Source organism: Homo sapiens, chromosome 6, assembly GCF_000001405.40.
Source record: "Homo sapiens chromosome 6, GRCh38.p14 Primary Assembly".
In the NCBI taxonomy this organism is placed as follows: domain Eukaryota; kingdom Metazoa; phylum Chordata; class Mammalia; order Primates; family Hominidae; genus Homo; species Homo sapiens.
The window spans coordinates 67,995,588-68,014,190 of record NC_000006.12 but is presented as its reverse complement, the minus strand read 5'-3'; the positions used below and the strand labels follow the sequence as shown (position 1 = coordinate 68,014,190).

Below are 18,603 nucleotides of genomic sequence, written 5' to 3'. Positions count from 1 at the left end.
CATTTAAACATGTACTCATTTAGCCTGTTTTTTCCTCTGCATTTCCACCTTTTAGAAATGCAGCAACATCCTTTTAGTTCCTCAGTCAGAAACACTTTGACAGTCCTTTTTCAACCTGCTCTTCTGTTGACCAAATCCACAGCCACCACTCCACTCCACAGCATCAGCATTTCACTTTGTTTATTTATTTTTTGAGACAAAGTCTTGCTCTGTCACCCAGGCTGGAGTGAAGTGGCGTGATCTTGGCTCACTGCCACCTCTGCCTCCTGGGTTCAAGAGATTCTTCTGCCTCAGCCTCTGGAGTAGCTGGGATTACAGGTGTGTGCGGCCACACCAGGCTAATTTTTGTATTTTTAGTAGAAATGGGGTTTCATGTTGGCCAGGCTGATCTAGAACTCCTGACCTCAAGTGATCCACCCTCCTCGGCCTCCCAAACTGCCAGGGTTATAGGTGTGAGCCATGATGCCCAGCCCTCTTACTTTCTTACTTACATTTTTAATATTGCCCCCCTAAAGACAAATGTATCTTTTGAAAATAGAAATCTAATTTTGTCACTCCACTATTTAAGTCCATTTTATGTTTTTCTATTTCCCTTAAGTTATAAAAATGTGACCATGACTTACAAGACCTATCTTTAACATTTCACCACTCACATCCTTCCTTTTTCGCTATTTCTCCTCTCTTCATATGGAATGTCTTTCAGTTCTTTCATGATAGTAACAATGCCATTGATTTCAGCTCTTTAGCCCAATGTTACAGTTGTTATTCATGATTAATTTTCTTTCCCAAATTATACGTTTCCTAAAGACAGGGCATATTTAACATACTATCTGGCATTTACTAAATGTTTGGTAAGTATTTGTTGAGTGACTGAAAGATCAAAACCTGAATGCTGTTAAAGGTGATGCACAAGAATATTTATCAAATTATTTTGTCATTTTCCCTTCCTTTCCTGTGATAGTGAACAGTTTAGTATATATTGCCTAATTTGTTTATTTCTATCTCAATTTAACTTTACTAAGTTTTGGTTGTTGTTGTTACTTTGTTTTTATCAATTTGTGCTTGAAAGAACCCCACTTCGTTCTTTGTCTCTTCCTTCCTTCCCCTCTTTCTCTCCTTCCTTCCTTCCTTCCTTCTTCCCTCTCTCTCTCCCTCCCTCCCTCTCTTCCTTGCTTCCTTGCTTCCTTCCTTCTTTCCTTCCTTCTTCCCTCCCTCCCTTCCTTTCCCTTCCCTTCCCTCCCTCCCTCCTTCCCTCCCTTCTTTCCTTCCTTCCTTCCTTCCTTCCTTCCATCTTTCCTTCTTTCCTTCCTTTTTACTTTACTTCATTAATCATATAATATTTAATACATTTTGCTAGGTACTTCAGTATGCACTGACATTTAAAACATTAAAAATAGTTTATAAGGCACCTTTTCTTTCTACCACCACATCTTAAGTTCCACATTGACTAATCACAACTCTTATGAATTTTAATTAGAACCTCATTTTTAGAACTGAAGGCTGTGCCTAAAAACTGTCCATTACTTTCCATTGAACTTTGAATAAATCCTAGTTTATTTACATTTTAACAATAACCTCTCATGAACTCATCTTTACCTACTCTTTGATCTTCTATCATACCACTTTTACCCTTTCTCACTATGTTCTTTTTCACACAGAATTTTTTTTAAAACCTCAAGCCGCTTCTTCTTCAGGCCTTTGAAAATGCTAGCCCCTCTTTCTGATATCTTTCCAGGCATCTTGACATTACTTGTTTCCTCTTTCCCTACTGGGTCTCAATTTTAATGTCTTTCTCTCAGAATAGTCCTTTCTGACTATGCAAGCTAAATTGGGTTTCTATTCCTATATATTCTCTCCTATCAATCTGCTCAATTATTTTCCTCAATGATAACTATGTATTTATTTAACCATTCTCCTGTTTATTAAGTTTCTTCCCAATGAGACTGTAAACTATGGGAGATCAAGGACCTTGTCTGTTTTGTTTATTATTACTGTAAAGTCATGTCACATCAGGCCTGGCCAAGAAATGTGCAGCGATTAAGTAAATAAATAGAGCCTTTCAATTTCCAGATGTATCAATGAAATTGATACACTATGGCTCTCTTTTGCATCTCTGGAATGAATATGATTCAAGTCGTGCCAAGAAACTCCTTTGGTCTCTTTCTCCTGCTCATATGTTGACAAAACAACACAGGCCCTCAGGTCCTGATGCCCGTTCAGAGGGTCCTGGTTTTGCCTTTATCACATCCTGAGAGTGACAGTCACCTGAAAACATGATATCTTGTGCCCTTTGGCATGTCAGACTCTGGGAAGCTGGGCTGGGAGACATCCAGACTGACTCAGACATTCATTGGTGTTCCAGGGGACTACCGGGAATGGGTAGGGTGCTGGCAGAGGTGTAACTTAAAGAAAAATTCATAGGCTGGGATAATTTTCACAGTTAAATCTGGGAAAACTCAAACAAAAAGAATGTAATGCTGAATATTTCACTGCAAACTTAATGATGGTACTCCAAGCAGAACCAACTGTCATTATCTTTGTACTATACTTGCTAGTAATTCAAAACTCATCCCCCACCAAATACTCATTCCAACTAATCCTCATTATGACAATTCACTTATTTCATACCCCTTTAATGCTTACATATTGGCTACATACCTATTACATTGTAAATCATAGTTTAAAATCCTTTCAGAGATAATTATTCTCTGTTAGAAATATCATTTTATTTTGAGTCAGAAGAAAGCCATTTTGCGCTTTTGCACAAATGTCTTACTCTTTCTGGGCTTCAGTTTGTTTACTTATTAAGGCTGGAATTCTAGTCATGCTTCTTTCTCAAAGATTTCTGTGGAACCTAAGGCAGCAAACTCTGAAGTTTCAAAGAAACACAGCACACATCAAATATTAGTTTTCAAAACTACATCCGTATCAAACAACTTTAATCTCATATTCATTTCTTTCGTATTCATAATTATCTGGCTTTCTAAAACATGGCTATGCATCTCTCTTTGTCTCTTTATTCTACGCTGAGAAAAGACTCTGCCAGTTTCTGCTGCCTGCAGTCTGTTAGCTAGAAAGATTCATGGCATGGTAATCAGGTCCTGAAGACATAACAACTTTGGGCTCACTGTTCCTTTTTCTGTCGTATTCCATATAAATCTCACAGAAACTCTTTCTTTCTGTATTAGGTCCCTTACAGCTGCTTTAATAAATCATGACAAACTTAGTGGCTAAATAAGTACATACTTTTTAAAAATTTTATAGTTCCGGGGGTCAGAAATCCAAAATAGGTTAGCATGGTTGCATTTCTCCTAGAGGCTCTAGATGAGAATTTTGTTCCTTGTCTTTTCCAGCTTATAGTAGCCACCCCAGTTCCTTAGTTTTTGGCTCTTTTTTCTATCTTTAAATTTTCTATCTTCAAAGCCTGCAGTGGAGCATCTTCAAATCCTATTTTCTTTCTTGTTTTTTTCTCTCTCTGTCTCTGTCTCACACACACCCCTGTTTTTGTATGTACTTCTCTATCTCTGACTCTAATTATGACCTTCTTACTTCTTTCTTGTAAGGAGCCTTAGATTGTGCAAACCAAAAGTAATCATCCTATCTATCTCCTGGTCCTTAATTTACTTACATCTACAAAGTACCTTTTGCCATGTAAGGTAACATGTTCACAGATACCAAAGATTAAGAAACATTAGGACATGGACATTTTTGGAGGACCTTTATACAGCCTACCATACTTTTCTTTCCTCAAATAACTAAATTGGTGAGAAATGCATTTGACCACACAGTATGAACTCAAGGCTAAGCTAACACGGCATTATTATTGCTTCCTGTCTTGTTGATACACTCATTTGGATCTCCTCTCCCATTGCCTCACTACTCACTCCCATTTGACAACTGGAACACACACAGAACTTCATGCCTATCCAGTACACTTCCAGGTCCTTAGAGTCCAGCTTTTCAAAAGCCATGCCACTATTATCCACAAACCTCACTATGGAGGATAGATAGGCCTTCCTGTCACCATCATGGCCCCTGCTACCTTGCAGTGTACATTGCATATGAAAGATGACCTTCAGCACAACCAAGAGCTTCTGTGATTGAAGGTCTCTTATGAATGAAATCTGGATTTTTGCTGATACTAATGACAGTAGGTACTATTACTCACTCTAGGTCCAAGGATGTTGGTGACAAATTTCCGTATTAGTTAAGTATCTATTTAGAAAACAAATTGTAGAGGTTTTTAAAGTAGAGACTTTTGCATACAAAAGAGAAAAGATAAATATCTTAATTTGGTGCTGAAATGTATGTTTAATGTAATATTCTGACCAAAGACCTTACATTCTACATTGGGATGCCAGTAGCTCTTTTCCTTTTTTGTTTTCACAAAAAACCTGTATAAAGTCTTATTCTGGTAGGATTAAGATCAAGATCTGTTAATGTTCTGATCATGTATACTATTGTTTTTTAAAAATTCTTCCTGTATTAGTGATATATATCCTACTGACACATGGAAATAAACTAAAAGTATTTATCATGATCTCTATGTATTATCTTTCATATATATATATATATACATATATATATACATATATATATATACATATATATATATATACATATATATATATACACACACATATAATTTTGTGTGTCTCATACTATTTTGTTGTTTTTTTTGTTTGTTTTTTGTTTTTTTTTTTTTTTGAGGTGGAGTCTCACTCTGTCGCCCAGGCTGGAGTGCAGTGGCGCGATCTCGGCTTACTGCAAGCTCCGCCTCCCGGGTTCACGCCATTCTCCTGCCTCAGCCTCCCGAATAGCTGGGACTACAGGGGCCTGCCACCACGCCCGGCTAATTTTTTTGTATTTTTAGTAGAGATGGGGTTTCACCTTGTTAGCCAGGATGGTCTCGATCTCCCGACCTCGTGATTCGCCTGCCTCGGCCTCCCAAAGTGCTGGGATTACAGGCTTGAGCCACCGCACCCGGCCTCATACTATTTTTATCCTACAAGGTTGGAATTCAAAAATAGCCTTTATACCTGTAGCGCGGAATATTTAACGTACATTTATTCTGATTTCAGATTTTAAATAATGGAACCTCCATTAGCTGATTTAATCAGGCTATGTTTCTCTCCATTATGCCTTATAAAACATATTCTTTAAATGTATTCTTTCACTCCTGGCTCTACAAGTGTCTGTCCTTCAGCATTTAGCCCGACTGTTGAGTGCTCATTATGTGTTGAGCATAATGCTAAGAGCTAGCGTTTCAGACGTGTGTAAAAAGAATCCTGGCCACTGCTTTCATGGAGCTTATGGTCAAGAGAGGGAGAAAGCAATAAACAAATATTTACACACATTGAAAACTTTCATAAAACATACTGTAAAGAAAACTACAGTGTTGTTATATGAATCTAAAACAGAAGCATCGACCTAGTTTGAATAAGCATGAATGGCTCCCCTGAGCAAGAGACATCTGAGTTGAGATCTCAAAAATCATTAGCAATTGACTAAGAAAGTGAAACTGGGTGAGAAGGCATTTCAGGCAGAGAAAACCATTGTCTGAAGCCTCAAAGTCTGATGCATGGAAAGTTGATGTGGTTTCAGTTAGTCACCTCATTTCCTACATATCCTACTGACATATGGAAATAAACTAAAAGTATTTATCACGATCTCTATGTATTATCTTTTATTGCAAAAAGGTATATGCACTCATACATATTAGTGGTAACAAGCACTGGGATCTATATATAAACTCTGTGAACACTCTATGAAATTACATAATTTGTTTTATATGTGAAAAAAAGTTATTTCTACCAACAGCAAAAATGTTTTGAGTCATGGGCTGGGTCTAGTTTTTGGAGATTTCCTAACAGCACCATATCTAGTGCCCTAGAAAAATATCGGCTGCCTGTCCATGAAGAAAAACATTAATCTATGGAACCAAAGCAAAGAGAGATCCACAATTTTCTAAAGCAAACAATACTTTCTTAAAAAATTAACAGTATCTAAGCACTAGACATTCTCATGGCAACTTAACTTAGAGATACAGGATTAGGTAACTATGACTATTTTTAATTAAATCTCTCTGGCTGGGGGATTAAATTAAACACAGTCCTTTTTTTGGACTTTGTTTTTTTCAGCCAAGCAAACTTTCATAATGACACATGTCTATTATCAATCTTATGTTCTAGAATAAATGAGGACTTTTAAATACAGTTGAAAAGAGTGTATAAATATAACAATGGGGAAATTTTGGACCTGCATGACTTTAAATGATCAGGTAATGAAATGAAACAGGAGGTTCATAGATGATACAGCATCAGCACAGTTGACAACCACCATAATTTGGGGGAAAGCCAGATGCTATATCTTAAGTTTTATTCAATAAATAAATTCAGTATTTTATTGCTTAACTGAATGCAAGATAAGAATACATGATCTAATGCCAGATCATGAATTTTGTAACAGAAAACACATCATGGTGCCTAACTTATAATTCAAATTATAAACTAGTCAATGATCATGGAGTCATTTTTCCTACATGGTGAGTCATCTAATTTACAACTTAGAAAAGCAATGATAATTCATCTTCTAATTTTATTTGTGATGCTTAACAATGTTATAGAGCATGTAAGTGTTTTCTCTCAGTGCTAAATTTAAAATCAATATAAATCAGATGTGTTTGAATTACAAAGTGTTTGCAATGGGAAAAACAACACAGCTTGTATCTGCAGTATTTATATTGTGAAAATATTTCTACATAAATAAATAGAAGTGTGAATGGTAACTTATTTTCAATTTTATCATTTTACCTCTTATATAAATACATAACAGATAACTCAGATCTCTAAATGGAATAAGACTGTAAATAATGTACTAAAGAAGGACTCTCAGTTTGGTTTTAAGCAGAGATTAATTTTTTATCGCTGGATGGGCTTATTCCATTAAGTACCTCTCTTGCCATGTCCATCATCTCCCCCAGTTTATTTTCTACACAGTAATAAGGAATCTTTTAATAATGTAAACAGGTTTGTATCAATTCCCTGCTTAAAATATACATCACATTATTCTTCCATTGCTCACAGGATTCTACTTCATGTGATTCCTGCTCAACTCTCTGGCCTCATCTCATGCCACAAATCCACCTTGTTTACTACGCCTCAGCCTAACAAGCATTTTTCAGTTTTTAATATAGTGCAAACTCTTTTCAACCTCAGGACCTTTACACAAATCAATCTCTTTGCTAAAAAACTCTTCTCGTGCTAAAGCACGGCTGGCTTCATCTCAACCTTCATTTCCAAATTTAAGATTACCTTGTCAGAGAAGCCTTTTCTCATCACTCAGTGTTAAGTAGTTCATTTTCCCAACACAAATGTACACCTTTATATTTTTATTCTCTGACTCTCTGATCTTTTCCTTCATTGGAATTTATTAGTTTATTTACTCTATTCACTAAACAAGAAGGATAAAAACCAAGTTTTTCTTATTCAATATAATATTCTTAGTTCTGGTAAAGTGAGTAACATTTTTAGGTGCTCTATAAAAACTTATTGACTACTTGACTAAGTGAATGAGTGAAAGAGGAAACTTCTTGGTCTGAGCTCGGTGACTCACACCTGTAATCCTAATAGTTTGGGAGGACTAGGCAGGCAGATTGCCTGAGCTCAGGAGTTCTAGACCAGCCTGGGCAACACGGTGAAACTCCCTCTCTACTAAAATATAAAAAATTATCCGGGCATGGCAGCATGCGCCTGTAATCCCAGCTACTCCGGAGGCTGAGGCAGGAGAATTGCTTGAACCCTGGAGGCAGAGGTTGCGGTGAGCAGAGATGGCGCCACTGCACTCCAGCCTGGGCATCAGAGCGAGACTCTGGCAAAAATAAAATAAAATAAAAAAAAGAAAGAGGAAATCTCTTTGTTGCAGTTACCCTTTAAAGCTCATCATGTCTGACACACTGAGATAATACGCTGAATGAGGGGAATATCAACTGTTGTGCAGCTGAGCATGGGGATTCTAATGGGGGTGTGTTATCAGAGTTTCTTTTGTGTCTATGTGTATTTTTCAATCTTAGGAGTTCTAGAAGAAAAACAATTTGTATGTTATTGCAATTTATATATTATTGTCTAGTCCTCATTGACTAAGCAGAGTGGTTCCAGACGAACACACACGGAGCATTATGGATCATTGGGTACCAGATGCTTTGGCAAGATCACCCTCACATCTGTATAATTACCGCTCCTTGGCATTGTTCAGAGCAGTGCACTTATCTTGTAGTGCTCTGGTCAGGGAGGGGACATATTTTTATAAAAATAACTTGGGTAACTACCTTGAGGAAATCTAGTTTACTAGTCCAGACATGGAAACTTGTTCATGTGATTATGATCAATGCTCCCTTTGAATGAGAGGAGTACAATGTTTAAAGAGAAATGGTCTATGCTTAAAGATTATTTCACCGAGGGTAGAGGATAAGAATTACAACATAAATATATGGAAGACTTTTGAGAAAAGGGGCCACCAATAATTTTTTTCTGTGGTTTTCATGGCAAAATCTTAAATTCTTGCCATTAATGGTAGTGTAGGACTCATGAGAACCCAGGAGGCTTGGCTAAAAGTCAAGAGACTGAACTTAGGTGACAGCAATGTTAGCATCTTTTAAATTAACTACTTTTGACATCCTCATGATTCAAAAGTAGAGAAATCCAGGACTAATGATACCAATGATTAAATCTAAGTATTAGTTTATAAGGTACCCGGTAGATAAAAATAGTGGGGTTACAAAGGGAACCTAGATAGATCTAATGAGATCCAATACTGCTGAATGACATTTAAGTTAATATACAAAGTAGTTTTTCAACTGCCTAGACTTTTCTATAATCTTAGAGATGTTCCTAAAACAATAAATGATATACTGTCTTACTGATTATGTACTTATATACTTATGAAATTTTACATCAAATATCACAAAATACTTTAGTTCAGTTTCTTTATGTACATAATGTTTTAAATGTTTTACATCTGTAAACTTGGACTTTAATTGATAGATTATTTAAGCCTATGTGAATATAATTATACATGTATATGTTTACTGTAATCAATTTTAAGTATCTTTCTGCTCTGAAACCTTCTTAATTTAGTAGGATTATTGCTTTTATCATAACAATATGCTTTAATAAAATGTGTATTTATATAATCACTATAAAGACAATTTTATCTTCAGTATTGAATTTAACTTTTTTTGCAATAGTGCAGTCACAATAATATCTGCAGTTTATGTCAACTGTAGTAACTCTTAAAACATAAAAGTCAAGCTTATCTTAGAAATTACTAATTTTCTATTTAGTTACCTGATAATACTTATACAATTTTGACATTATTTAACTATTTGAAAAAGTATTCTTCTGTTTCTGTAGCTAATACCTTAAAAGCCATCATTTCATATTATAAAAATGTATTTAAAACTTTTAATAAAAAATGTGCAGAAGTCATTTAGAACCATGGTCATTTTTAATTTACATGAAAAGTCGTACTTTTCCTATATGCAACTTCTGTAGCTGGATATGTTAAATCATATCTTTGAATGCAATTGTTTTAAAATAATTTCTAACATATGAATCAGATGCTAATATTGCTTCAGCATTTTTGTTTCTTATGGTCTTTTTGTTTCTTTTTTTTAAACATAGTCATATAGTCATACCTGGCTATATATATATATATACTTATTTTAGGTTCAGGGTTACATAAGTAAGTTTATTACATAGACAAATTGTGAAATTGAGTGTTTTATGAGCTTTATGTGATTAATGGTGTCACTCTGGTGCCAATGGTGGATAATAAATGTCAGCATACATTTAAAGACAGTTATTCATTTATTTTTAATATGTTTTAAGAGACAAAGTTAATTTGTGATTTTTTCATTAAATATGCCCTTTTGTATTTTAAATTTATTACTACCTAAAAAGTTATAACATTTAAAAATAGCATTACAATCGCTAAAAATAAATAAATAGTCTTACAGCATTTTGTAAAAGTCAAAATCTCTGTAGCAACAGCATCCAGAATATTTTCTATAGGTTCTAAGACAGAACTACTGAAATCCTATTTATCAACATATTTCATACACACCTAACCTATAATTCCTGATTTTTCCCACTGACTGCTGAATGTTGGCATGGTGGCTGCACACACTTTAAAGGCCAAGACATGGGACATGTGCTCACTGGTTGGTACAACATATTTCCTGCAGAAGCCACAGCATAAATTGCTTTTCCCACCAGCTTAGACAATAGAAGGACTTAGCAGTGCTGAGCTGCTTACATCTGAGCACAAACCATTTTGAGTGATACTCTTTCATGTTATTCTTGGAAGAGAGGTGTTAGTAATGTAGTGTCTAGAAAGGGTGAGAAAAAGGAAAATGGGCAATTTATACTTTCAGGTTTGACATTTGTAAAATTGAAAACTTTGTTCAGTGTACTTGTATCTCCCATTAGTAGACAAGACCGCTAGGCAGAAGCTGAAAGGACAAAATGGATGTTTATAAAACTCAGATTTACTATTAATTAAAAGTACTTTGTTATTAATGTCTATTAATTTCAAATGAAAAAAATCTGAAATACATTCTAAACTTGCTGTGACAATAGGACAAGAGTTGTAAAATGGGACTCCCCAGCCAAATTGCAACAATATGGAGGTTCTTCTATCTATGGGAGAACCTAAATCTGTGAAACCAACAAGGTGGTTTGTCAGCCAAATCCTAGAAGTAGAAATTTTAAAAAAATTGTTTGAAGTAGAATCAGATTCTAAAATGGAAAGACATTTATAGCAAGATTCTACATGGTATCCTCAATGGCCACGATAAAAGTAGAGTTACTGGATATTTGATGCTATCTCTTATACTCATAATGTTATTTATTACTGAGTCCTCATACTTCCCGTGACTCCAATATTAGTATCTCCATCATGCATCGGTGCCTTATGTAGCCACTGAATGCTGTGACATTCTCCTACATTGGAGGTGTAGCATTCAGCCAAATGACCACATTGCAACAAAGCTGAGGCCCTGCTGGAGGTAGAAATACTCAGAGTGCTTATTTTATTTTGTTTAGAAAGTTAGGTAAGTGGGAATATCATATGGTTTAAGTCAGTCAGATTATCCTATGTTTTATTTAAACTCTTAGACAATGGCAAAGTCAGAATTTGAGATCTGAAAGTTGCCAAAGTAAATTAGGGGTAAAAGTGTACTTACATGGCATGTTGTCTAACACATAGGGTGAAATAGTAACATGGAGACCATGTTGGCCTGTGTAACTCAAGTTAGGGAATCAAAAGATGGAGGGCCCTAGAAAATACGTTCTGTGGTAGCCTTATATGAGAGGAGAATGGGGATCCCTAAAAAAGGGAAGTGTTAGATGATCAAAATACCCAAGAGTTCAGTAAGTCTGGTGAAACTATACATGCTGTAGAAAAGAAAGTTAGTAAGAGACCAGTTGACATGGGAGAAATTATAGCACTCATAAGCAGAGATTAATTTTTAGTCAGGCAGAAGTTTAGAACCCCAAAACCAGAACACACATTAAAGACTCTTGTCAATAACATTGTGAGGGTTAATACTGAGTGTCATCTTGATTGGATTGAAGGATGTAAAGTATTGATCCTGGGTGTGTCTGTGAGGGTGTTGCCAAAAGAGATTAACATTTGAGTCAGTGGGCTGGGAAAGGCAGACCCACCCTTAATCTGGGTGGGCACCATCTAATCAGCTGCCATGACAGCTAGAATATGAAGCAGGCAGAAAAATGTGAAAAGAGTAGACCGGCCTAGTCTCCCAGCCTACATCTTTCTCCCCTGCTGGATGCTTCCTGCCCTTGGATATAGGACTCCAAGTTCTTCAGTTTTGAGACTCAAACTGGCTCTCCTTGATACGCAGCTTGCAGAGGTCCTATTATGGGATCTTGTGATCATGTGAGTTAATACTTAATAAACTCCTCTTTAGAGATATCTCTATATAGATAGATAGATAGATAGATAGATAAATAGATAGATAGATAAATATAGATATATCTTATATCTACGTAAGCCCTTAAGTGTTGTCATATGATACATAGGTTTCCTGATTTTCTAATAGGATATCTATATATCCTATTAGTTCTGTCCCTCTAGAGAACCCTGACTAATACAACCACCATGAGGTTATATAGGCATCTGAATCACCCGTGGACATAATGAAGAACTTGAAAGCATTTGCTGCTCAGAGTGAGACAGAAGAGAAAATTACAACTATTTATTTCTACCATAGGTTATTTCCAAGGCATTTTAATCAAATTCTTTCTAAACTATTATTTTGCCAAATATTCATTTTAGCATTTTGCTTCCACCTTTCAATTCTATATTTTCTGAACTTTTCCACCTACTGGTAGATTGTCATTCCAAGATCTTCATTTCTTACACCTTTTAACTTTGAGTCCTTTAGTCCTATCTGTATTTCCCTCTCCCTATTTTTAAAACCTAACTCCGTCAAAGTTTTCTCTTTTGTTACCTTAATATTGCCATTCTATAACTTCCTTAATGTTAAATAAAATAGTGGATTCATATCTCTTTTAGACTCTCTATATTCCTTTCAGAAACCATTACATATTCAGCCACAAAAAAGAATGAGATCCTCATTTGCAACAACATGGATGGAACTGGAAGTCATTATGTGAAATGAAATAAGCCAGGCAGAGAAAGACAAACATCACATGTTCTCACTTATTTTGTGGGATCTAAAAATCAAAACAATTGAACTAATGGAGATAAAGAATAGAAGGAGGGTTGTCAGAGGCTGGGAAGGGTACTGGGAGTGGCAGTGGGAGTGAGGAGGAGGTGGGGATGATTAATGGGTAAAAGAAAAATAGTTTAAATAAATGAGACAGTATTGGTAGTACATAGGATAACTACGGTCAATAATAATTTAATTATACATTTTAAGATAACTAAAATAATATAATGGGATTATTTCTAACACAAAGGATAAATGCTTGAGAAGGCAGATAACCCATTCTCCGTGATGAGATTATTAGGCATTACATGCCTATATCAAAACATCTCATGTACTCCATAAATATATATATACCTACTATGTAACTACAAAAAATTAAAATTAAAAAATGTTAAAAAAACAAAATTCGCACATTAAAAAGAGAAACCATTACAGTTTGATGGAAAGATCACAGAGCACTAATTTAATAAAAACCTGAGTTTGTATCCTGACTATGATCACTTGAGGCCATAACGTACTGTTGCTGTGGTTCTTATGTCTAATCTCAAACTCAAGAATATCTTTCTTTTGAAGCATTTCAGGGAGACTTAAAGAGTAAATATATATGACCACACCTCAAAAACTACATGATGTATAGAGGGACTGAAAAAAATAGAGTGGAATATGAATCTAATTCTAAAGCAGTACTCAACTTTTGAAGATAAATAAAAAGAAGGCATATATTCATTGAGTGTCATGTATTTACTGAGCGTCTGCTGGATGTCACTGTGCAAGGCACTGAGGAGATAAAAGTAAACAACAACCAAATTAAACACTGTCTCAACCTTCGCAAAGCTTAGAATATTAGTGCGATTCTCTTAAAAATATATCCCGAATAAAGCGAAAGCCAATTTCCTTGTGATGTAAGACCTCTCAGTAAAAGTTTTGCTCATGCCAGACTTTCACAAACTCAGCTGGAAATATAAACAGGAATCACCCTGTAATGAACACAGGCAGAGCCCTTAAGTGTTGTCATATGATACATAGATCTACTGATTTTCTTCTCTTGTCAAGCTACTGATTAGAGAGATGGGTAGAACCTAAAAGATATTTGCTAAAGGATAATAAAAGACAAGGGAAAAGGAAGAGCTCATTTATCTGGTAAATAAGGATATCTGCACCTGCTAAAAAATAATTTTGGTTTGGATAAACATTTCAAATGTCAGGATAAATCAGAGTGTCAACTGGCGAATATCCAATTTTTCATATGGTCAACTAAGCCAAACTTCAGCTCCTCCAATTCTGTAAGTCTATCTATGACTAATTGCAAAGCAGGAGAAAATTCAAATAATGGTTACAACTTTCAAGTTAAAAATTTCAGAGTCTAGACTGCAAATTTTTTATAGACAGAAAATCTGTTTTTGTGCTTTATAACAGAAACATTTTCATTTTTTTCTGGTTGATTAACAAAGCTAAGAGCTTATATTTTCACTAGAATCCATGTTCTTTTTTGCAATCTTTCCTGGGGGATTTCTACGGGAAATAAAATCATGAAGCAACATTAGTTTTTTTGTTTTTTTTTTTTCTGAATGGTTTAAATAATAACTACATCACACTAAGCCTCACAGCCCAGTCTTTTAAAAATCTGATTTCCAAAACAATGTGATAGGCAAAAAAAAAATTTTGAACAAAAATTATTGATTTTTGGAAAAGCTGACTTCCAACCACACTATAAATATATATTTTTATAAAGGTCTCCATAATTGGACACACATAAAGTCACAGGTGCGACTTGCTAGAATATTAATGAAGGCTTTGTTTGAATGCATCTAACCATATTTTATCACCCAGATATAATCCAATAAACTTCTATGGCTGTCTATAAGCAGAATTTTTAGAAGGGATAATAGGAATCAGATACACTCTGATGCTGTGCTGTATGCATTTGAACAAATCATTCTAGCCACAGTACATGAAATCTAGCAAGAAACCTGCTCCCAGCCATGGCCATATCTCTAAGCTAGCTTAGCCTAAAAGAAGTAGAGCATTTTCTTAATTATTCAGTCTAGAGAGCAAATCTTTTTCTAACTAGTTTTATTCTAGGGAGGGTGTCAATTTAGTTACATCTAGCTATTCAACTTTAGCTAATATTTGTGTTGTCTGTACATAGAACCTTGAAAAAATGGGGCATAAAAATGACATAAGAAATAGGTCAAGAGATCACTGTTACATACATATGACTGAAAAAGATGAATTCTCCTCATAAGGAGGATTTTCATGAATAAGTTCATATGTCCTTAGAGACTTACAAGTTTTAGCAAATTAAATAGCTCTTATATTTAATATTAAGGCTGAGTATGTCCAGGCACTCGAGTAATGTAGATTGTACCTGTAATGGAATTGTAGTTAGACGTATAATGTAACTGTTTTGATCTGAGAACTGCCTATATAGCCATGTAGCCACCTTTAGAAAAAGAAAAAAAAAAGAAAGGGGGAGGAAAAGAGAAACTGGGGGAGAGAGAGGAGGAGAGGAGAGAGGAGAGGAAGGGAGGTGGGGAGAGTGTGAGGGAAAAATTACATGAGAATATTCAAGTCAAAACTTAAGAAAAATTACAATGAATAAGATTGAGTGGATCTAGTACATAGGATGTTTTGATGAGTGATAATATTTTTCGCCTTAAACTCCTGAAAATTATTAACAGAACAACATAATGTATTTGTTATTTATTTTTGGTTTCACAAGATTTCCTCCAAGAAGTAGACTCTGAAATACAGGTTAGTGAAAAGGAAAGTAATTAGAAATTTCTCTTGTGATGAACACATGTGCAGAGGGTAAGGAAGCAGTATTAAGATGAAGAAAATGTTGAGCTGTGATGCAGTCCCAGTGAAGCTTTCAGCCACCTCACAGTAAGCTTTGATGTTGAGATGGCCCAACAGAATTGTCCTGATTTGGGGAGAGGAAGCCAGGCATTTACATTTTTTAGTTGATCAGTAGTTTTGGGTTATGGGCTGCCAATGGTAGCGGTTATGACTTTTGGATGGCCACTTTTTCAACCAAAGCCCATCCTAAGGATTGCTTAGATAAAGATTTTCTTCTAACAACACTCCCAGTAGCTAAGGGATAAATCTTCCATTTTGAAAGACAATTCTGGAACAAGCAGGGACTAGGGTGAATCGACTGAAGTGCCTAAGGAAAAAATTCAAGGAAATGCTCATTCATATGACCTTGAGAGGGTGTATCTCCTTAAATTCTGTGCCCTATGAGCTTCGTCACTTCAAATTAGTGCTGGCTTTTTTCAGGAGGGGGCATCACAGGTACTACCATAGTTGATTCTTATGTTGCTAAGATCCACTTCCTTCTGCAGAAGTTTAAGTAGTTCTTCTAGGATTCCAGAGTGCTTCTCTTCCTGAAAGAATCAGAAAAGGAAGATGAGCAGGATGAACTACAGTCCCAGCTACTGTTACTGGTCACAAGACTTCAAATTATATTCATCCACTTTCTTAACTACTATCCATTCTACATTTGCCTCATCCTCAGGTAGCACCCCTACTGGTCTTAATGGTCTTCTTCGTAGTGTGATTCAAATTCTCATCCTTAAATTATCTGTACCCTTTGTCACAGTACCCTTCTCAAACAGGGTGTCCACACTTGTTCACTTACTGTCAAATGGGCAAGAGAGCACCAAGAAGTACACAAGTGAATTGTCTATATACCAAACCTATTTTTTCTGCTTCCACTGTGTAACGTCATCCATGTTTTCAGTTGCCTCTCTATCACCTTAATTACTGATACCAAGATGTTGACTCTTCTTCCCTGCTGATTTTCTGTCATGAAAATCCCAAAATCTCAAGTGGCAGCTATGACTTGTAATTCAATGGGATTCTTGCAGTGCTTTTGGTGGACATGTTCTCTCTTTGAGAACCAGAACTTCTGAACTCATGGAGCCTAAATGGGAAGCATAAATTCTCCAATTGATTTATTGGCAGTGATGGTAAGTGGAACCACTTCTGCTTTCAGCCCCTGTTTACAGGAGCAAAATAGTGTACCTACTAGAGACAGTGTACCATATATTTTTTTTTAAAAGTTTAAGATATACATTGCATGTTACCGTGCAATACAAATGTCCTCATGTATACTCACTCCCATATGTCCAACCACCTGCCTGTACCTCATATTTTCATGACCCTGATTTTCTAATGAATCCATGTATACTTTAACCTCGAATCACTTCCTTTGTCACACACTGGATAAACAGGTGCGCAAGACAAAGCTCTGCCCATTGGATGATTTTTTTTAACTGTCTTTCAAGACTTCCCTGAGTAAAACTCTAGTTTAATAGCTGTCCATATTTGGCCTGTACCTACATACTAATCTGACTTATTAATCAACCAAATTTGGTCTTTTTTCTCTTCCTTCAGAGTCATAAAGAATTTCCCATGCAGGTGTGAGGAAGAGATACTGATGCAACAATGGTGTATGACACAGGGTTTTGAACTGCCCACTGTGTAGCTTGCCTGTGCCCTCTGATCATGGATATGGTGCTTCCATTTTATAAGTGGTTGTGCTAGGTCTATCTGACCTTAAAACTTGGCAGGTCAGACATAACCAAGGACTTCTACACTGCACCCTACTAAAGCTAGTAGATTTTTTTTTTTTTTACATATGGATTGGTATGTTTTTTGACCTGGTTTTCCCAGGTGTGAAATATACTACTTCCATAACCAAAATAACCCTTCCAGACAGTATTGTGTCTGGAATTGTGTGGGAGGTGCAAAATGCAATTATTTGTTCTTTACTATGGAAGGGATGTCTGTGTATGCCTCAGACTACTGAATTTCTTAAAAAAAAATTTCTATTATGCGAGGTCTTTAAATATTTATGTATTAGTCAATTTTGTGCTACTAGATCAGAATACCACAGACTGGGTAATTTAAAATAAACAGAAATTTTTTCGATTAAATTTTGAAGGCTGGGAAGTACAAGAATAGGGGTCAAAAATCTGGCCAGCGTTTTCTTGCTGCATTATCCCATGATGAAGGGCAGAATGGTACACTTAAGCTAGGAGAGAAAGGAAGAGGGGACTGAATATGTTATTCTATGAGAAACCCCCTCCAGTGATAACAAACCCTCTCTTACAATGGTGGTATTAATCCACTCAAGAAGCCAGTGCCCTCGTGACTCAACCACCTTCCATTAGGCTATACCTCCCAACACTACCACATTGGGGGTCAAGTTTCCAACATATGAACTTTGGGGACACATTCAAACCATAGCATTTTATAAGGTTTATAGCCAAATATCTGCAATACTTGTGTCTTACCAAGACTTCTAGTGTGCTAGTCTTTTTTGCTCTGCATTATGTCTTTAATATAGCAGACCACTTGATGTTCTGTGGGATGTTTCAAGTATCCAGATATGATAAGATTCTATTACAAAAGAAGGAAAGAAGGTTAAAATAGCCTAAAGAAAAATTTTGGAATACACACAGTCCTTCATTTCAAGGGAAGGTGAAGGATTGCTGATCCTCTTCTAACAGCATAGAAAAATGCATTCATCATATCAGTAGCCACATACCATGTACTTGAGAAGGTATTAATCGGTTGTAGCAAGGATACCATATTTAGCACAGAGGCAGTAATCAATGCTACTTCTTGGTTGGGTTTGCAGTCATCATCCTCTGTGTCCTTGCAAACACAAACAGGCCTTCAGGATCTGTGTGATTTTTGTAGGGCAAACTGATAAAGTAAAAAATATAAAATAAAGTGGATCATTTTGCCAGCATTCTTTAGGTCTTTATGGGTGGTGCTAATTTTTTACCATTCTGCTTGGAGTATGATATTATTTGGCCAGTAGTTGGGAGAGAGAATTTTAG

At 35.8% G+C, this 18,603-nt stretch overlaps 1 long non-coding RNA gene across 1 annotated transcript, besides 1 other annotated feature; it reads right to left on the bottom strand.

Moving 5' to 3' along the window:
- Positions 1 to 15,439: 15,439 nt before the first annotated feature.
- LOC105377844 (uncharacterized) lies at positions 15,440 to 18,385 on the bottom strand. Its single transcript, XR_942661.3, has 3 exons — positions 18,306 to 18,385; positions 18,052 to 18,157; positions 15,440 to 16,137 (listed from the first exon to the last, which is right to left on the bottom strand). It is a non-coding gene; the product is annotated as an uncharacterized LOC105377844 (long non-coding RNA).
- Positions 16,153 to 17,352: an enhancer, noted in NCBI's record as "MED14-independent group 3 enhancer chr6:68706731-68707930 (GRCh37/hg19 assembly coordinates)". NCBI's record gives its function as "activates an origin of replication core promoter dependent on BRD2, BRD4, P300/CBP and CDK7 cofactors, and independent of MED14, by STARR-seq in HCT116 cells {active_cell/tissue: HCT116}" and the evidence as "EXISTENCE:reporter gene assay evidence [ECO:0000049][PMID:35650434]".
- Positions 18,386 to 18,603: the final 218 nt, after the last annotated feature.